This window comes from Homo sapiens, chromosome 7, assembly GCF_000001405.40.
Source record: "Homo sapiens chromosome 7, GRCh38.p14 Primary Assembly".
NCBI lineage: Eukaryota > Metazoa > Chordata > Mammalia > Primates > Hominidae > Homo > Homo sapiens.
Window position 1 is genome coordinate 129,637,384 of NC_000007.14, and position 22,204 is coordinate 129,659,587.

General features: G+C 39.3%; 1 protein-coding gene across 4 annotated transcripts in view; it reads left to right on the forward strand.

Moving 5' to 3' along the window:
* NRF1 (nuclear respiratory factor 1) overlaps positions 1-22,204 on the forward strand; it is a 145,357-nt gene that overhangs the window by 25,664 nt on the left and 97,489 nt on the right. For 3 of the 4 annotated variants that reach the window (NM_001293163.2, NM_001293164.2, NM_001040110.2), the window contains exon 2: positions 19,960-20,191. In NM_001293163.2, the coding sequence (NP_001280092.1) occupies positions 19,969-20,191 (223 nt within the window). In that variant the 5' untranslated portion in view covers positions 19,960-19,968. The remainder of the gene's footprint in view (positions 1-19,959; positions 20,192-22,204) is intronic. The other variant, NM_005011.5, reaches the window with a different exon arrangement.

Sequence of the window (22,204 nt, forward strand, 5' to 3'; positions counted from 1 at the left end):
TCTGGTATTTCATTTGGTAAAAAGAAGAAGAGCTTATGCTGTTTGTCTTTTCTTTCTCAAACCTGGACATAACAATGGTTATAAAAGTAATCACAGTCTTATTATTTTGAAGGGAGAAATAAATCTATAAAGCAGAAATAAAGTTTTTATAATCCATAATTCTATTTTGCATAGATAAAAAGTATTCTTAATAGTTTTAGTATATCTTTTGAAATTATTTTGTTTGTCCACAACCATATTTATTTACACTTAAAAAAATGAGACCACACTCATTCTAGCAGATTTTATAACCTGTTGTTTTCAATTTCCATCATTTTATGGATTTTTTTGTGTGTCAATACACATAAATCTATTTCATCCTTTAAGACAAGCTTATCCAACCCGCAGCCCACAAGCTGCATGCGGCCCAGGATGCCTTTGAATGTAGCCCAACACAAATTCATAAACTTTCTTAAAACATTATGAGATTTTTTTGTGATTTTATTTTTTGTTTTTTTTTTTCTAAGCTCATCAGCTATCGTTAGTGTTAGTGTATTTTATGTGTGGCCCAAGACAATTCTTCCAACGTGGCCTGGGGAAGCCAGAAGATTGGACACCTCTGCTTTAAGGCTTCTGTGATATTTCTCTGTACCAAGAGTTAATATTCCTTGTTGCACAGCACATGGAGTCTATTCTAAAGTAGACTCTAGTTTTTTTTGTACATTGCTACTGGCACAGTTTTTTTTTTTTCAATAGTTCACTCTTTTTGGGGGTTGTGATATGTGGTGTTTTTTTCTGGTTGCTTCCTTTTCCTCTGGTTTGACTACAGATCAAGACCTGTGTTATCCCAGTCAAGCTACAGATACAGATTGCCCTTTTCTTTCAGACAATAGCTCTAATTTAATGTCCCCTTTCATAGTTACAAGTCTGTTCTTCAGAACAAAATCTTGGCAGCCAGAATTATACTTGACACTTTATTCCAGCATATTACTGCTGGCGAGAAAGACGGTTGACTTGTTTTGACCCAAGTGAGCTTAGTTCTAAGAGACTAGGAAGGTGGATGATGAGCAGCTTTTGGTGGTTTGACAGCCAGCTGCAGGACATCCATTGTGGCCAGGACCGAGTAGCTGCTGATAAATGTGGGTATGGTAAATTACATTTGATGGCCTCTTTTCCCCTTCTGTTTTTGAGAATTTTATCAAAGATTACACTGAGAAAGTGGTATTGAGAAAAATATTTTTTATTCTTATGGGATAATTATTCTCTTCTCTAGCCTATACTTCTTGTAAATGGCAACATTGGTAGTAGTCATGGAAAAATTTTGGTGATTGGTTTTTTTAAACAGGAAATATAGTGTAAATGTTATTTAGGTAGTTTTGATTTCTTTAGGAACTTAGGTAGCATTTCTCCCCTCCTTCTGTGAGTTTAGTGATATCTTTTATAGACTTAAATTCTAAAATGGAGATGTTATGCCTAGTTTTAGGTAAAGGCATTTTAATTTTATGTTCAATTACTTTCTAAATTTTGCTTTAGTCTTGAAATATAATATGCTTTTTTACTTTAACATCCTTGTGTAGGATTCTAATTTGATTTTTTTTCCTTCTTACTACTGTGCCTCTAATTTTGATTATATGGCATCTTTAATTTTCTAAGTAATTCAAGATACAGTTTATCTCAATGAATTAACTCACAAAGTAAATATGGGAATTTTTTTTGGGACAGGTTCTCACTCTGTCCCCCAGGCTGCAGTGCAGTGACACAGTCTCTGCTTACTGCAGCCTCGACCTCCATGGCTTTACTGATCCTCCCTTCTCAGCCTCCCGAGTAGCTGGGATTATAGGCGTGCGCCACCATGCCTGGCTAATTATTGTGTTTTTAGTAGAGATGGGGTTTCACTATTTTGGCCAGGCTGCTCTCAAACTCCTGACAATTTATGGGGATTTTGGTTATTTGATCTTGACTCTTCCATATATACTTGATTTCCAGTAATTGGCGTGGTTCCAGTTTTACATTTTGTTGTTTCCTTGTTCCTAAATTTATATAAATAATAATTTGTACAGATTTTCATACCTTTTAAAATTCAACTTAAAATAATTTTTATAAATTGGTTTAATACAAACATAGAAATGGTGTGCCCAACTCTCCATTTTCCTTAAAAAGTCAGCCCCTTGTCCCCACAACCCTTTTTTTTTTTTTTTTGCGAGATGGAGTCTTGCTCTGTCGCCCAGGCTGCAGTGCAGTGGCATGATCTCAGGGCTCACTGCAACCTCCACCTCCTGGGTTCAAGCCATTCTCCTGCCTCAGCCTCCCGAGTAGCTGGGATTATAGGTGCATGCCACCACACCCAGCTAATTTTTGTGTCTTTAGTAGAAACAGGGTTTCACCATGCTGGCCAGGCTGGTCTCGAACTCCTGGCCTCAGGTGATCCGCCTGCCTCAGCCTCCCAAAGTGCTGGGATTACAGGCGTGAGCCACTGCGCTCTTCCGCCCCCCCTTTTTTAAAAAAAGTAATATTTTTCTCTTTCCATCTACTGAAAATGGGAATGGATAGTTAGCTAAACAATTTAATATAGGTGAAGAAGAACATAAAGTCAGTTGAACACTCTGGCGCTCACAGAATACTGTAGCTTCACAAGACTGCTTTGGCAACTTTATAAACTGCATTTATTCCTGTGGCTGAGAATCATGCTGTCAGACCTCTCAGTTTGTGGGAATCAACTCTCAAAGTAGCTATTGTATATTATCTAAGGCAGTGATGGTGGGGTTGAGGGTTGAGGGAGCAGGAGATGTATTAGAGGGACCAGGATGGGTGGCTGCAGGTACAATTTGAAAAATCAATTCAACACACATACCGTTTTATAATACAAATTCACGGCTGGGTGCTGTGGTTCATGCCTGTAATCCAAGTACTTTAGGAGGCCAAGGTAGGAGGATCGCATGAGCCCAGGAGTTTAAGACCAGCCTGGCAACATAGTGAGACCTGGTCCCTACAAAAAAATTTTTTTAATTAGCTGGGCGTGGTGGCTCCCGTCTGTAGTCCCAGCTACTCTGGAGGCTGAGGCAGGAGGGTCCCAGGAGGTCAAGGCTGCAGTGAGCCATGATTGCACCACTGCACTCCAGCCTAGGTGATTGAGTGAGACCCTGTCTCTTAAAAGACAAAACCCAAATTTACCGTACCCCCAGTAAAACCCAAATTTTGGCTTGAAGATTAATTAATTAATAGCTTAATTATTAAGCTATTAATACATAATAGCTTGCATTAGCAGTTAAGGAGCCCAAGCAAATAATGAGTGGAGACTGTGCTCGGGTACAAAGGGTGGGACTCTGATGGAGCAGCTGGAACACTTGATTGAGAAGCAGGAGATAGGGGTTCAAGTTTTGGATTTGCCACCAATTAGAGATGTGACTTTGGGTAACTCACTGGGTCTTTCTTGGTCACAATTTGGAAAATGAGAACATCAAACTAGTCTCCAAAGTCTTAAGCATTTTAGGTTTGCCTCTGGTTAAAGGAATGCTCTGTGGACAGTTGGATTTGACCAGTTATCAAGGTAAGATTATATCTTTGGGAACCAAAGTAAACAGTTCCAGATTTTTCAGCCAGTCTTCATCAGGGTGTTATTTGTACATCCTAACAAATCACAGAGCCGTGGAGACCTTATGATGAATAACCATAAGCCTCCTGGCTCTTCCCTTTTCTTGCCATCCCAGTCCTACTATCCAGAGACAGCCTTTAAAAACTTTTTCACTATTTCTGTTTTTAGCTTCACTTGTGGTTACTTCCATAAGCCTTAATAATGTGTTTAGACTTCTGTTCCTTGATTTATCAACTTTAGATGATACCTGTGAAGTTTTTGATGTGAAAAATGAGAATTTAACTCACTTTTTTACCCCTGTCATTATTTGATATTTATATTACTTTGAAAGTCATTTATTAATTATCTTTATAATTTTAAATGATAAACTTTAATTTTTTGATCCATCAACTTCCTGTAGGGCCTCTTAACTTGCCATTTTGGAAAATGGGATTGTAAATACCCCCTTCACGTCCCTCTTTTTATATTCTACCTTCTGATACCTGTACTCAACTTGCATATTGTCTAGGTTATAAAAGGTTAATATTTTTATTCTGTCTTCCATTCACCACCAAGTATTGTGTGCTTTCCTTTATATTTAGATTGCTGTTTTTATTGCATTCGCTTTCTCTGCCTGCTGTGAACATATGCAGAATCATAAGTGTACGATTACTCAAAATGTTTATGTCTTTTAAAAGCTAAGGAAATAATTTGGTATGTGCTTAAAGACTCAGCTTATTTTATTTTTATTTATTTATTTTTTTGAAATGGAATCTCGCTTTGTCACCCAGGCTGGAGTGCAGTGGTGTGATCTCGGCTCTCTGCAACTTCCACATCCCGGGTTCAAGCGATTCTACTGCCTCAGCCTCCCGAGTAGTTGGGACTACAGGTGCGTGCCACCACGCCCAGCTAATTTTTTGTATTTTTAGTAGAGATGGAGTTTCACCATGTTAGCCAGGATGGTCTCGATCTCCTGACCTTGTGATCCACCCGCCTCAGCCTCCCAAAGTGCTGAGATTACAGGTGTGAGCCACCGCACCCAGCCTAGCTTATTTTATTTTTTGAGACAGAGCCTCATTCTGTTGCCTAGGCTGGAGTGCAGTGGCACAACCTCGGCTCACTGCAACCTCCGCCTCCCAGGTTCCAGCAATTCTCCTGCCTCAGCCTCCCTAGTAGCTGGGATTACAGGCACTCGCCACCATGCCCAGCTAATTTTTTGTATTTTTTTTTAGTAGAGACAGGGTTTCACCCAGTTGGCCAGGCTGGTCTTGAACTCCTGACCTCAAGTTATATGCCCGCCTCAGCCTCCCAAAGTGCTGTGATTACAGACGTGAGCCACCGCGCCCAGCCAAGACTCAGCTTATTAAACCATTTATTTACTCATTATTCAAGAGATATTTATTGAATACTAGTTATCATTAACAGTGCTATTTATAATAGTGAGAAATTGGAAATAACCTAAATGACTTCAGAGGATTGGTAAACTAAACTACTGTATGTTCTTACAGGGAATGCTCTGTAGACATTTAAAAAAGATACAAAAATGTTAATAACATGGAATATTTTAATCTATATTAAGTGAAAAAATATTTGTAATACAGTATATACAATATAGGCTCATTTTTGTTTAAAAACAATGAAACAAAACCAACTGTATAAGAAACTAGCAGGGGAAATGCTGGAAGCATATACATAAAATAGTTAACTTGGTAATGTAGCTATCTCAGGTTACAGTGATTTGTGTTTATTTTTAATTCCCCTATATTTTCTCAGTTACCCCCAAAGAACACAAGTCACTTCTAAAAGAATACATTCTTTAAAAAATTTTTTTTTTTTTTTTTTTAAATGAGATAGGGTCCCATTGTTTTCCAGGCTGGAGTACAGTGGTGCAATCTCAAGTCACTGCAACTTCTGCCTCCTGGGCTCACTCCATCCTCCCACCTTAGCCTCCCAAGTAGCTGGGACTACAGGCATGCACTACCACACGCAGCTGGTTTTTGTATTTTTAGTAGAGATGGGGTTTCACCATTTCACCCAGGCTGAGAATACACTTTTTAAACTTAGAGATACAAAATTAGAATTGCCAGTCATAGGTTTTCTTGGAATACACATGCTACAATAATGTAGGAGTACCTGATAAGAATTCAGTAAATATTTGTTGAATGAAGGAGAGAATGATTGAATAGCAGAGATTCCTAGGTCTGTGGTATTGGCACTTAAATACTTTCATAATTTTATCCAGAAACAAATCCTTAGTTCAGTTATTTCAGAAGAAAAATCATGAATTGAGCTGTCCTGCAGAAGCTAGGAAATAGCTTTAACTGGCTGTTGGTTGTGTAGTGACAGATCCAGCAGAATTGAGCCCGCCACTGAAGCAGCCAGGCAACAATGCTGTTTCACAGTATGCAGGATCTGAATAAAAGTGTCCTTTGTGCTTATTTGAGACTGGGGGGCGGGACTTGTGGCAATTTACGTTATTTTTCCATAATGGAAATTGAGGCAGCCTCTAATCCTGCTATCACACATGGCAACTACTTATTTGATTTTTGGTAATTTGGGAGCAGCTGTGGACAAACAATTATTCTGCAAAAAGAGCCATGCCAGCTGCATTCTGACCCAGTTGCAAATGCTTGGGTAGACCAAACTTCCTATTCACCATCTTTCTAAACCAGGGATAGCTTTAACAACTCACCTGCTTTTTATTGATATGTGTAGCTTCTGGTAAGCGTCTACATATTTGAGAATGCACTCTCTAATGCTTTTTTATTGTTGTCACCAACCTTCACTAGGCACCTACTTCATTCAGGCAGTGTGCCAGACACAGGGTTGTAAGCTACAAGATGTTATACAGTGTGGATAGACTGCTTTCATTTTGACAGGTGGGTCAGCATTAGCTTTATTTTTAGTAGACTAAATGGCAGTGTAAAGAAAGAATCTGGTGTGGAGGCAGTTGGGAGCTGTGTTCCTTTGGTCCCCAGACTCCCCCTGAATCTGCTGTCTGCGCGTTCATTGATGTCCCCTTGCTATGCCATGTGCTTTCACAAGCCGTTGCTGCTGCCTGCAGTGCCCTTTTTTTCATTCTGGAGCCTGACGAGCTTCTGACTGTAGACTCTGTCATTTCCTTCAGGATGCCTGCCCCATGTCCTTGCAGTTTTGTCTTCTCTGTGCTCCCTTAACCCTTAGCAAATATCACTAGAATAGGATTTGTTTTTTAAATGGCGAAAGCCTACTTACTTAACTGTATTAATTCAGTCTTTCAGTATACACTTATTTATTTTTTAAGCTCTTATAACCCAGGGGCTTAGAGAGATGTTTCAGTAAAGAAACATAGGAAATTAGGTAGGTAGGGTCATCTATAATGAGTAAAAAGACAGCGTACTTTTGACTGTGAACGTCTGTAGGGCAAGGACAAAACGCTGACAATCTTTATTTCTGTCTCTATAGTGCTGAATTATCACAAGGGACAAATGGCCTGAATAATTGTATGAACCCACTCTATTAGAAATTACCTTCACACTGATAGATAATGGCCTGTGATAAGAAGCAAGTCAAAACTTTTTAGAATGTAGAACTGCACTGTTCAATATAGTAGCCACAAGCCACATATGGCCATTTAATATTAATTAAAATTAAACATTTAATTCCTTATGATCTCATGTGGTCAGTAGTCCACATGTCCAGCTACAGTTTTGGACAGCACACATTTAGAATATTTCCATCATTGCAGAAAGTTCTACCAGACAGTGCTAATCCAGAACCTATAAGAGAGTTGACATATTTTAAGCATTTGATGAAGTACATTGACTTAACTCTTCTCTATGGAAAGATGTTCCGGCAAGCCAAAATTCCCCATGCTGTCTTTACATTTTTTCCTTTGCTTGTGGCACCCTCTAGTGTTCTAGTAATACATAGTCTATTTATAATTTGAATAGAAGAAGATTGGAATATTTTGGAGAATTCTGTATGTGTAGCATTTTTCTAGGGAGGAGCTCTGTAGCTTTCACCCATCCCCAAGAAAGTTTATGATTCAAAAACGATTAAGAACTCTATGATAGAGGTATTTGTATGGTCAAAATTCCTAATGTGATCTGTAAACATTATTTCACCCAGTGTAAAAAAAAAAAAAAAAATCATGTAACTGTCCCTTCAACATTTCTTTGCTGTCCTCATCTTTGTACATGGAATAAGAATAAGTTACACTTATATAGCACTCACTATATACCATGTCCCCTTAAGCCCTTTTTCAAATAGTAATTCATTTTGTCCCCAGTAATTCTATGAAGTAGATTCTGTTATTTTCCTTCATTTGACAGATGTTACAACTAAGACAGAAAAAGTCAAATGAAACTTCTCCAAGTTGCTAGTAAGTGGCAGAGCAAGAAATGGAATACAGTATTCTGGTTCCAGAGTTTGTACCACCCCGCCGGAGAAGTGAGGATGTGTTTAAGTAGGCATGAGGTAGAATGGAGAGGAGACTCTCCAGACACTTGTACATGCTGAGCCCAGTTGTATAATAAGAAAAAAGAATGGTAACTCTAAATCGCTCTTTCCCATGCTGGAAATGATAGCCATTACCCACCACTGATTTTCAGTAGGTCTACGCAGTCCGCTAGGGAGTTAGGATGGTAGATAAAGGTCAAAGGTACCATTGCTACCACATTTTCTTTGGTTTCCAAAAACCTGATCTATTCATCGAGTAATATGACAAATTATTTTCTGTTTGTCAGTGTTATTTCTATGAAGAGACAGTATAGTACTATGATGTTGATTTTGAGGTTTGCAGGAATGTTAGACTTAAAGAGTAGGTCAGATAGACTCACAAACATAAGTTTGTGTTGATATCACCTACTTTCCTGTCTATGCTCCCTTCTCACTTCTAAGTGTCCCATTTCTGTCTGTGTGAAGCATTTTATTTTTATGTATTTATGTATTCTGAGATACAGTTTCACTTTGTTGCCCAGGCTGGAGTGCAGTGGCATCATCTCAACTCACTGCAGCCTCCGCCTCCCGGGTTCAAGCGATTCTCCTGCCTCAGCCTCCCGAGCAGCTGGGACTACAGGCGTGTACCACCACACCCGGCTGATTTTTGTATTTTTAGTAGAGACAGGGTTTCATCATGTTGGCCAGGCTGGTCTTGAACTTCTGACCTCAGCTGATCCACCTGCCTCCCAAGGTGTTAGGATTACAGGCGTGAGCCACCGCGCCAGGCCTGTGAGACATTTTATACTCTATAGCTTAGCATCTTTTTAATGATTCATTAAATTTGAGATTCATCAGTGTCTGAAAACAGAAACTCTAATTGTAGTCTTGTAAAAATGGGCTTCATTTTTTACATCACTTCTTTATTGAGGGTATGAGAATCCCGGATTGCTGCTTACCAGCACTGTATGAGTAATTTTGAATGCAAGTATGTATTTTCTTCTTTAAGTATTAATCGGGGCCTAGAAAACCATGTGTGGCATTTCAGATAATTTAATTCTGGGAACTGGGTACACAGGTGTTACAAGATGAAAGAGCACAAAAGACACTGGGGTAATCCAGATAGGAAGCACTACCACCCCTAGGTTTGGGGGAACAGAAGAGAAGAACCTGGAAGCTCAGAGAGGTCCTCCTGCAGCTGGTAATCTGATCTCCTAGTGGAATGCCATTCAGCTGGTACTCAACCACCAGGAGAGAAGAGGCACAGCTGGAGTTGGGAGGTGCAACACTCCTCTTGCTGGAGCAATGCTGATATTATAACAATGAAAACAGCAAAGAAATCCCTTCTTCTCTCCCCTTCCAGTCTCCCTAGGCAAAACCTAACAGGATACTGGCAGTAAAGTCTGGAAAACATGGTTGGCAGGCTCAGCCCCAGAGCGAGGAATAGTGCAACTCTGACAAGAATAGAAGACAGGGCTTGGAAGTGAGACGGAGAGAGAGAGATAAACAGCAAGCATAACCTTGTAGGAGAGTTACAGAAACTGTAACTGCCTGGGTGTAGCTTTAGTTATTAAAATGTGCAGCTGATTACCCACAATCATTTATCAAAGAGCACATTATGATAGATCTATTCATAGAGACTTTATGGACCCGAGCCCTGACTTCAGTGAGCTTACAGTATTTTCTTTTCTTTTTTTCTTCGAGATGGAGTCGCACCCTGTCGCCCAGGCTGGAGAATGCAGTGGCGCGATCTTGGCTCACTGCAACCTCCGCCTCCCGGGTTCAAGCAATTCTCCTGCCTCAGTCTCCAGAGTAGCTGGGATTACAGTCATGTGCCACCATGTCCGGCTAATTTTTTGTATCTTTAGTAGAGACGGGGTTTTACCATGTTGGCCCGGCTGACTCCAGACCTCGCGATCTGCCCGCCTCTGGCCTCTCGGGATTACGGGCATGAGCCACCATGCCTGGCGCTTACAGTATTTTCATAAAATCATCCACTCATCCCTAAGTCATTATGAAGTTGTGTGGTAAAGCTTTTTTTTCTTTTCTTGCTTTTTTTTTTTTTTTTGAGACAGAGTCTCGCTGTGTTGCCCAGGCTGGAGTGCAGTGGTGCGATCTTTGCTCACTGCAACCTCCGACTCCCAGGTTTAAGTGATTCTCCTGTCTCAGCCTCCAGAATAGCTGGAATTAAAGCCACCACCCCTGGCTAATTTTTGTATTTTTAGTAGAGATAGGGTTTCACCATGTTGGTCAGGCTAGTCTCAAACTTCTGACCTCGCGATCCCCCAGCCTTGGCCTCCCAAAGTGCTGGGATTACAGGCGTGAGCCACCACGCCCAGCCCAAAGCTTATTTTTCTTAAGCATTATATAAAAGCATCATTGTTAACTGGATTATCGTGTTATTAGTATTAAGGAATATTTACAAAGTTAACCTATTGGTATGAAAAATATTTGATTAGTCATACAATTTTGTTAGTTTTAGATGCCGCAAATTAGGAGTTTGTCTTCCTCAAGGCAAGGCCACTTCTAAACTTGAACTGTGCTGTTCTCAGTTCTTAACGTAAGAAGGGAGCTTTATTTATCTAGTGACAGTTTGCTCTAACATGTCATTTAATTTTAATTTTCAAAAGGATCAGTTTGGAAGACTATATCATAGCTATTTGTTTTTAAAGCTCATTTTGTTAAAAGTCAAAGTAATACATTCATATAATAAAAGATGAAATAGAAGGACTTACAATAAAAATCAATAGTCTTTTGCCACTCTTTCCCCATCCCGAGTCCCACTTTTCAGAGACAATTAGCTGTTTTTTGTTTATAGTTTAACTGTTTTGTTTATAGTATCATCAAACAGTAATGCCTCCATAACTCTAAATAATATGTCTATACCACTATTTCTTGATTTATCAAATGGGCATTATTGACTTTTTTTTTTTTTTTTTTTTTTTGAGAAGGAGTCTCGCTCTGTCGCCCAGGCTGGAGTGCAGTGGCACAATCTCGGCTCACTGCAAGCTCCGCCTCCCGGGTTCACGCCATTCTCCTGCCTCTGCCTCCCGAGTAGCTGGGACTACAGGTGCCCGCCACCACGCCCGGCTAACTTTTTGTATTTTTAGTAGAGACGGGGTTTCACCGTGTTAGCCAGGATGGTCTCTACCTCCTGACCTCGTGATCCGCCCTTCTCAGCCTCCCAAAGTGCTGAGATTACAGGCGTGAGCCACCACACCCAGCTTGACTTTCTTTTATGGAATATAAGGTACTTATTTTTTTAGTACTTTTCCTTTCCCTTGTACTTTTGATAGTTACATTGTAATACTGTTTCCATCTCCTGCTAATAATGTCTCCTGACTCCCTCACCATGTAAGGATAGGATATTAATACTCTATACTCCTAGCCATTCTTCCACCTTTCTGTCCCTCTCCCGCCTCCAAATTTCTGTCAGCCTTATCTTTGCTTTTTCATTGTCATGGTTCATAACTTTTACCTGCTGTTTTGTATTATATTTCATTTTCTGTATTTTGGTCTGTAGTCGGGGTCTGGAGATGGAACTACATGTACAACTATAGCTTCATTTTTTTTTTTTTTCAACTGTAGAGCCCAGTGGTGTGGGAGGGTATTTTTTTTCTTTCCATGTCTGATATCATCACTCATACACTCTTTGAAAGAGAATTATCCTAGGTCAAATGGATTTTTCTTTTCTTATGTTCCATTTTTACTCACAATTAAGCCACATTTTACTTTGATTCTATTTTCACTCTGACTTGAGCTGTGGAATTGTTTTTAATTTTTACTGCTGTGGTGAGATTTCCATCCATTACCCTAGTGTCCCCCTGAGGAGCAAACCCTATAGTTGACTTTAGGCTTCTTTAGGCTTCTTGAGAAAGGGTAAAATTTCTATCCTAGTTATGCAGTTTATATTCTGGATATGTTCAAGAATGTAAGTTGAGCCAGCCTAGGTTCCCCCCACCCCACCCCGGGTTTGGACTGTAGACTGAGGCTAGGTGTCAGATTTTCCCTTAGGCAGTTCTTGTGGTTTTTCTTTTGATATGATAATGCTATTGATTAGACTAATGCTTTCTTTTACATTTAGTTACACTTTGATTAGATTTCCTGGCCTGCTTTTCTTTCTGCTTTGATTTTTAAAATACTCTACACTTAATCTCATCCATTATGTGTGGATTAGACTAAATTTAACTCCCTTGGACATTTCCTTCAAATTCCAGTAGCTCCTTAGGTATTATTGACTACAAGTACCAGGGTGCTCTGGGCCAAGACAATCTTTTTCTGTGTTTTCTTCCACTAACCCACCCATACTGGCCTAGAGGGACAAAAGTAGCAGCTCTTCTGTACCAGAGAGTACCCCTACCCCAACCTCTTGTAGTTTATATTATAAAGAAGGACTTTTTAATTTAATTTTTTTTTTAAGAGAGAGGGTCTCACTCTGTCACTCACACAGGAGTGCAGTGGTGCGATCTTGGCTCACTGAAGCCTTGTCCTCCCAGGCTCAAGCAATCCTCTTGCCTTAGCCTCCTGAGTAGCTGGGGCTATAGGCATGTGCCATCATGCCCAGCTAATTTTTCATTTTTTGTAGAGAGGGGGTCTCCCTATGTTGCCCAGGCTTGTCTCGAACTCCTGGACATAAGCAATCCTCCCACCTTGGCCTCCCAAAGTGCTGGGATTACGAGTGTGAGCCACTGTGTCCGGCCAAGAAGGACCTTTAGATGAAGGATATATTGCACCCCAGGTGATGATCCAGGGTAAGAAAGATTTTAGTAAAATTGTTACCATGTTAAGTTATTGCTTGGGGGAATTTTTTTTCTTTTTCCTTTTTTTTTTTTTTAAATGAAGTATTGACTAATCTGCTGAACACCACTGGCTCTGGGTGATAGGTATGCTGTTTTATTTGAATGTGGTGTTGAGTCACAGGTCATTATGTATTGCCGGCGCTTTCGTCTTACTTTTTATATCAGTTCAGAGGAATCACTCTCAAGTCCATCTGCTGCCTCTTCATTTTGTGCACTGTTGTGAAATTATGCTAGGGGCCTTGGTTTCCTATAGTTTCTTTATTTTATGTCTAGGAGAACAATATTTCAGTTGCTGGAGTTAATATAGGGCTTTTTAGATGCCTGATTCAGTCTCTTACACAGTTAAGAAAACCATCCTCAGAGATGACTGTCTGATTTAGAAATGAAGAAATTGAGGCCCAGTGCTTGTGAGACTAGTCAAGTAATGAGTCAAGAAGGGTAGAATCGGGAAGACATAGAGATTCTGGCATCATCATAATTAATGTCAGGCACTTATTGCTGGGCACTGTGTTCCTCACTTTATCTGGGTTATCTCATTTAATCCTCATATCATCCTTTTGCGAATAGGTAGTCATTTTTTTTTTCACTTAAAAAAAATGATAGAATTGTAGCTTAGAGGTTGAGTAACTTGTCCAGGGGTTCTGGATATCTTGGTGATAGACTGTGCTGTTTTATAAAATAGAGAATATTTAATATATTTTTACCTATTGACAGTTCACATCACTTTAGCTATCCAGGGAATCTAACTCCTCATGGAGGAAAGCTAAAATGCTTCACTAAATTGACTTGGGAGAGTGGGGTCTGATGATGTCCAGCAATATGTCATATGTCATATCAGTCATATCTGGCATTAACCAACCTGCTTCTTTTATGATTTTATGGAAACATTGTAAGTATCATTCATAAGTATCCCACTCTAGTTAAAAGAAGTCAGAAATACCTTTGCCTTTGCTTTTCACAGGGTGTGCTGAATAAAAATGGTTAGAGAGGCCGGGTGCGGTGGCTCAAGCCTGTAATCCCAGCACTTTGAGAGACCGAGGCAGATGGATCACCTGAGGTCAGGAGTTTGAGACCAGCCTGGCTGATATGGTAAAACCCCGTCTCTGCTAAAAATACAAAAATCAGCTGGGCTTGGTGGTGCACTTGTAATCCTAGCTACTTGGGAGGCTGAGGCACGAGAATTGCTTGAACCCAGGAGGCAGAGGTTGCTGTGAGCCAAGATCACACCACTGCCCTCCAGCCTGGGCAACAGAGTGAGACTCTGTCTCAAAAAAAAAAAAAAAATGGTTAGAGAGGCCAAAGAATGGGAGAGGGAGAGAGGTGGAAAGAGATGAGGCTCTGGGCAGAAATGGCAAGCCTGTGAAGCAGACAGCCCTATTGATTCATGCTGTGAACTGCATTCTGGAGCAAAGAATTGAAATCCATTATGCCAAGCGCATAGCCTACAAATCCCTTTGAAAAGCAGTTAGGTGCCATCTAATCCCAAATCATTTAAAAATAATTCTGAAGTACCCAGAATTCTAAAATGCCCTAAGCAGTTTGTCTCGAAGAACAGTGAAATGGATGGAAAAATAGCATTTTAATGGTATCTTTCTCTCATATATTATATTCAATTGTGTGACTTAGTGTGTTAAATTGTTTTAGAGTAGTACAAATCTGGGGGCTAGGATATATTCCCTTGGATATTCTGAAACTCACATAAAACAGGATATGGAAGGGTAGCTTATCAGGTAGCTTAAAAATTCTTTTCTAATTTTGCCATAATTTCAGACTTTGGGAAAAGTTGCAAGAATAGTACAAAGAATTCTCATGTACCCTTTACCCAGATTTTCCAAATGTTCACATTTTACTGTGTTTTCAAAGACCTCAGAAAATTGAAAATTTGATTATCTACATAGAAACAAATCACCTAAAGAATAAAGACATAGCAGGATTAGTTTAAGAGAGCAGTTACTCAGAGGAACAAAGGATTTTAGAATCAAAAGATCTCAAGATGGAGAAAGACTTCTATAGTAGAGTGGGACAAAATAAGAGAAAAATTTTACATAAATAAATAATTATGTTCTTTTACATGCAGCCATAGAGGTCATATTTCTATATCTATGTGGTTGACATTTTTTGGTAAACTCCAGATGTGTAGTGCTGTATACTGTTACATGATAGTCAAATTTTAAATGTGTGTATATGTTCATGTGGGTTTGTATTAATACAAGTAGAGATAGTGTTAGTGTACAACTGAAGCACTCAGCTTTTCAATATACATCAAAATTTAAAATACATATGCCTTTTGACCCAGCAATTTACCTTCAAGAGTTTGTTATTCTTAAAAGAATTTATTTTTTAAAATAATCAAATAATATACAAGATTTTTAATAAAGATAATACAGGCTGGTTATATTATTCTCCTGTAAGATTAGTCACTTCTTCCTTTTTTAAAATTTATTTTTATTTATTTATTTATTTGAGACGGAGTCTCGCTCTGTCGCCCAGGCTGGAGTGCAGTGGCGCATCTCACTGCAAGCTCCGCCTTCCGGGTTCACGCCATTCTCCTACCTCAGCCTCCCGAGTAGCTGGGACTGCAGGCGCCCGCCACCACTCCCGGCTAATTTTTTGTATTTTTTTAGTAGAGACAGGGTTTCACCATGTTAGCCAGGATGGTCTCGATCTCCTGACCTCGTGATCTGCCTGCCTTGGCCTCCCAAAGTGCTGGGATTACAGGCGTGAGCCACCGCGCCCGGCCAGATTAGTCACTTCTTTGCACAGAAATTACACTGGTATATAGGGTAATTTTAAAAAGTTAGTTGTAAAATATACATAACAATAAATTTACCATCATAATCATTTTTAGGCATATAGTTCAGTAATGTTAAGTACATTCACACTGTTGTGCAGCCAATCTCCAGAACTCTTTATCTTGCAGAACTGAAACTCTGTACTCCCAGCCCCTGGCGACTAATAGTCTACTTTCTGTCTCTATGAATTTGACTACTCTAGGTGCCTCACATAAGTAGAATCATACAGTATTTGTTCTTTTTTGTGGCTGGCTTATTTCACTGAGCAGAATATCCTCAAGGTTGATCCATGTTGTAGCATGAGTCAGAATTTCCTTTTTTTAAAAATTGGTTTTAAATAAAACTGTATTTTTTATAGCAGTTTTAAGTTCACAGCAAAATTGAGTGGAAGATACAGATAATTCCCATATACTTCTCTTCCTTACACTTGCACAGCCTCCCCCACTATCAACATCCTGCACCAGAGTGGTACATTTGGTTCCAATTGATGAGCCCACATTGACACGTCATTATTACCCAAAGTCCATAGTTTACATTAGGGTTCCCTCATGGTATTGTACATTACATAGTTTACATTAGGGTTCCCTCATGGTATTGTACATTCTATGGATTTGAACAAATGTATAACCCATATCCACCATTATTGTATCATACAGAGTAGTTTCACTGCCCTGAAAATGCTCCGCCTGTTCATCCCTCCCTTCCCCCAATCCTTGGCAACCTCTAATCTTTTTACCGTCCCCATAGTTTTGCTTTTCCAGAAGGCCATGTAATTGGAATCATAAGTGTGTAGCCTTTTCAGATTGGCTTTTTTCACTTAGCAATATGCATTTAAGCTTCTTCTACATTTTCTCATAGCTTGAAAGCTCATTTCTTTTTAGTGCTGAATGATATTCTATTGTCTGGATGTACCACAGTTTATCCATTCACCTACGGAAGGACATTTTGGTGCTTCCAAGTTTGGGCAATTATGAATAAAATTATAAACATCCATGTGCAGGTTTTTATGTGGATGTAAGTTTTCAACTCCTTTGGGTCAATACAAAGGCGTGTAATTGCTGGATTGTATGGTAAGAGTATGTTTAATTTTATAACAGACTGCCACACTGTCTTCCAAAGTGGCTGTACTATGTTGCATTCCCACCAGCAGTGAAATAGAGTTCCTGTTGCTCCACATCCTCAACAGCGTTTGGTGTTGGCAGTGTTTTGAGGTTTAGATATTTAAATAGATGCGTAGTGATATCTCACTGTTTTAATTTGTAATTCTCCCTTGACATATGATGTTGAGCATCTTTTCATATGCTTATTTACCATCTATATATCTTCCTTGGTGAGATCTCTTCAGGTGTTTTGCCCTTTTTTAAATTGGGTTCATTTTCTTATTGTTGAGTTTTTAAGAATTCCTTATTTTGGATAACAATCCTTCTGATTCATCTTTTACAACTATTTCCTCCCTGTCTATGTCCTGTCTTCTCATTCTTTTGGCAGTGTCTTTCACAGGGCAGAAGTTTCTTGTTTTAATGAAGTCCAGCTTATCGATTTTTTGCTTTTATGGATTGCGCCTTTGGCATTGTATCTTAAAAGTCATTGCCATACCCAAGGTCAACTAGATTTTCTCCTATGTTATCTTATAGGAGTTTTATGGTTTTGCATTTTACATTTAGGTTTATGATCCATTTTGTATCAGTTTTTGTGAAGGTCTATGTCTAGATTTCATTTTTTTGATGTGTGACTGTTCACTTGTTCCAGCACCATTCATTGAAAAGACTAACTTTGCCAAACTAATGTATTGCCTTTGCTCCTTTCTCAGAGATCAGCTGGCTCTATTTATGTGGGTCTATTTCTGGACCTTCTCTTCTGTTACATTGGTCTATTTCTCTGGTGTTTCACCAATACCATACTATCTTGATTACTGTAGGTTTATGGTAAGTCTTAAAGTTGTGTGGTATCAGTCTTCTGATTTTGTTCTTTCAGTATTTTTTTGGCTGTTCTGGGTCTTTTGCCTCTCCATGTAAACTTTAGTGTCAGTTGGTTGGTATCCACAAAATAACTTGCTGGGATTTTGATTGGGACAATGTTGAATCTAGAGATCAGGTTGGAAGAACTGACATCTTGACAGTATTGTGTCTTCCTATGCATGAACATGGAATATCTCTCTCTATTTAGTTTTTATTTGATTATTTTCATCAGAGTTTTGTGTTTTTTTTCATATAGATCTTGTACATATTTTGTTAGATTTATACCTTACTCAGTATTTCACTTTTTGGTGGTGCAAATGTAAATGGTATTGTGTTTTTGATTTCAGATTCCACTTATTCATTTCTAGTATTTAGGAAAACAACCTTGTCCCTGCAACCTTGCTGTAATTACTTACTAGTTCCAGGAGTTTTTTTTATTGATTATTTTGGATTTTCTACATCAACAATCATGTCATCTATGAAGAAAGACAGTTCTATTTCTTCCTTCCCAATCAGGGTACCCTTTATTTCTTTTTAAAAATCTTATTGCATTAGTTAAGACTTCCAGTACAATGTTAAAAAGAAGTGGTGAGAGGAGATTTCCTTGTCTTCTTCCTGATCTTTTTTTTTTTGAGACAGAGTCCCGCCGTTGCTGTGTCACCCAGGCTGGAGCGTAGTGGCATGATCTCAGCTCACTGCAACCTCCACCTTCTGGGTTCAAGCGATTCTTCTGCCTCAGCCTCCTGAGTAGCTGGGATTACAGATGTGTACCACCACACCTGGCTAATTTTTATATTTTTAGTAGAGACAGGGTTTTTCCATGTTGGCCAGGCTGGTCCCGAACTCCCTACCTCAGGTGATACACCTGCCTCGGCCTCCCAAAGTGCTGGGATTACAGGCGTGAGCCACCTCGGCCAGCCTTCTTCCTAATCTTAATGGGAAAGCTTCTAGTTTTTCACATTATGATGTTAATAGTAGGTTTTTTGTAGCTGTTCTTTATCAGGTTGAGGAAATTCCCCTCTTTCTAATTAGCATTTTCTTCCTTTTTAAAACTGAATAATAAGTGGTATGTGTATACCACATTTTTTTTACCCATGCATTCATCGATGGTCACTTGGGTTGCTTCCACATTTTGGCTGTTGCGAATAAAGCTGCTATGAACATGGGTGTACAGATGTCTATTCAAGAATAGCTGGATCATGTGGTACTTCTATTTTTGTTTTTTTTTTGAGGAACTAATATGTAAAGTTTTATATACAAGGACATATTTTATACTGCATTGATGTTTAGTTTATAATAGCAAAAACTTGGCAGCATATTTGATCAGCAAGTGACTGGTTATATAAATTATGACACATGCATATAATAAAGTATTATGCAGCTGTTTAAAAAAGATATGGTAGATCTGTTATGTTTTGACATGTAACAATGTCCAGATATATTGTAATATGAAAAAGACAGACAATATGTATAATATGAACCTGTTTTTATTTTAAATCTATATATATGTATGCTCCAAATTTATTTTTCAAAAATAATGAACTTCTGGGGTGGGGGGGAGTGGAGATTATAAGTGTAATAGAAGAGCCAACTTTTAACCTTACTGCTTTATACATTACTGTATCATTTTGGGGTTTACAAGAAGCACAGTTTTTTGGGTTTTTTTTTGGAGGGGGTGTTTGTTTGTTTTTGAGACAGAGTCTTGCTCTGTCTCCCAGGCTGGAGTACAATGGCACAACCTTGGCTCACTGCAACCTCTGCCTCCCGAGTTCAAGCACTTCTCCTGCCTCAGCCTCCCAAGTAGCTGGGATTACAGGCGCCCACCACCACGCCTGGCTAATTTTTTTGTATTTTTAATAGAGACAGGGTTTTGCCATGTTGGCCAGGCTGGTCTCGAACTCCTGACCTCAGATGATCCACCTGCCTGGGCCTCCCAAAGTGCTGGGACTACAGGCACTTGCCGCCATGCCCTCAAGAAGCAGTTTTATAAGCAGAAAGACCAATTTGAATTTTTGGGAAAAAAGTTATTTGACTCTCACTCGTCTTTGACATACAAAGAAAATGTTAAGTATTTCACTTATTTACTAAGTGTTCTTATGTTCACAAGGCCAAATGCTAGTCACTGAGCTATCTTAAGTATGTTTTTATTGTTATATTTGAATGTCTTTTTATTATTAAGGGTATCTGTTGTTTTGTGATCTGAGGTATAAAATTAGTACAGCGAATTTCCATCAAAATGGTTTCACGTAAGAACACCACTCTGTCATTTTTATGTCACATTTGCATGGTGCTTCCCATTTCCTGTGACTTGGTGTGGCACGGTAAGTAGTGAAATTGGAATTTTGTCAAGGTTCCTCTGCTCTTGAATAAAATATCTCTTAGTTTAAACATTGTGTTATATTACACACTGAATCCTGTTCTTTTTCTTTTTTGTCTGACAGTAGAACTTCATGGAGGAACACGGAGTGACCCAAACCGAACATATGGCTACCATAGAAGCACATGCAGTGGCCCAGCAAGTGCAGCAGGTCCATGTGGCTACTTACACCGAGCATAGTATGCTGAGTGCTGATGAAGACTCGCCTTCTTCTCCCGAGGACACCTCTTACGATGACTCAGATATACTCAACTCCACAGCAGCTGATGAGGTGACAGCTCATCTGGCAGCTGCAGGTAGTGTTGTTTGGATTAGAAGCTCTTCTTTAATTTTTTTTTTTTTTTTTTTGGAGACAGCGTCTCACTCTGTTGCTCAGGCTGGGGTGCAGCAGCACAATCATGATTCACTGCAGCCTTGATCTTCCGGGTTCAAGTGATTCTCCCATCTCAGCCTCTGGAGTAGCTGGGACTGCTGATGTGTACCACCACATCTGGCTAATTTTTGTATATTTTGTAGAGACAGAAATGTCACTGTGTTACCCAGGTTGGCCTCAAAGTCCTGGGCTCAAGCGATCCTTCTGCCTCGGCCTCCTAAATTATTGGCATTACGGGTGTGAGTTACTATGCCTGGCCTTTATCACAACTTTTTTAAGCCTTGCAGTTATAACTTGAGCCTGTATTATACTGAGACTTGAGGTCTGTAATCACTTACTATCAGTGTTATGGCTTTGGTTTTATTTTTTCATCTATTCTGCCTATGTTTTGGCTTTAAACTGAAGCATTTATTCCAATTACGTTAAACAGAATCACTGACATGTATTTAGATTTAAATTTACCTTCTTTTCTATATGCTTTCTCTTTGCCCTACCTGTTCTGTTTACTTTTCTCTTTCTTGGCGTTTTCTTTTGTAGTGATTGAAAATTTTGTATTTTTTCATTTTTTTCTTGTTAGTTTGAAAGTTATAAGCTTTTACTATTATCAATACCTGTAGAAATTGTAACATACATCCTTTATTTATCAATGCCTTATGTTGACTAGGCTCAGTGGCTCACACCTGTAATCCCAGCACTTTGGGAGGCCAAGGTGGGAGGATCACTTGAGCCCAGGAGTTTGAGACCAGCCTGGGCAATGTAGTGCAATCCCATCTCTACCAAAAAAAAATTAGCTGGGTGTGGTGACGTGCTCCCTAGTCCCAGCTACTTGGGAGGCTGTGGTGGGATGACTGATCACTTGAGCCCAGGTGTTTGAGGGTGCAGTGAGCTATGATTACACCACTGCACTACAGCGTGAGTGACAGAGTGAGAGCCTGTGTCCAGTTGAAAAAAAAAAAAAAAAGGAAAAGCAAAACGTTGTATGTACTTGGAACTTTTAACCTCTACAGGGATAATACAAATTTCTTAGAACACTTGCATTTCATGCGCCCATCCTATATGCTATTGTTGTCCTTTGTATTCATTTTTGGTATACAGTTGGCTCTCTTTATCTGTGGGCTCCACATCTGCACATTCAACCAATTTTGATCAAAAGTATTAGGAAAAAATTAAAAGTAACAATATAACAATTAAAAATAATACAAATAAAAGGCCAATACAACAACTATTTGTATAGCATTTACACTGTATTAGGTATTATAATATTAGTATTAGTAACCTAGAAATGATACAGAAGGACGTGAATAGGTCATGTGAAACTACTACACCATTTTATATCAGGGACTTGAGCATCTACACATCAAGATGCTAGAAACAATCTCAAGAGGATTTGAAGGGACAACTGTATTTTAAACACCACAGGACTTTTTTTTTTTTTTTTTTTTTTTGAGATGGAGTCTCACTCTGTCGCCCAGGCTGGAGTGCAGTGGCACAATCTTGGCTCACTGCAGCTTCTGCCTCCTGGGTTGGAGCAACTCTCCTGTCTCAGCCTCCCGAGTAGCTGGGATTACAGGTGTGCGTCACCATGCCCAGCTAATTTTTGTGTTTTTAGTAGAGATGGGGTTTCACCCTGTTGGCCAGGCCGGTCTTGAATTCCTGACCTCGGGTGATCCACCCATCTCGGCCTCCCAGAGTGCTGGGATTATAGGCGTGAGCCACCGCATCCAGCGAACAATATTTTTATTTAAAAAATAATGTTAATTTTTTTTCCTGCATCTCCAACTGGTCTCCTGAGATGGTTTTACTTCTGCCTAAAGACACCATTTAATATTTGCTTTAACATGGATCTGCTAGTAACAAGTTCTATTTTTGCTTGTCTGTGAATGTTTTTACTTAAACTTCAACCTTGAAGGATGTTTTCACTGAGTATGGAATTCTA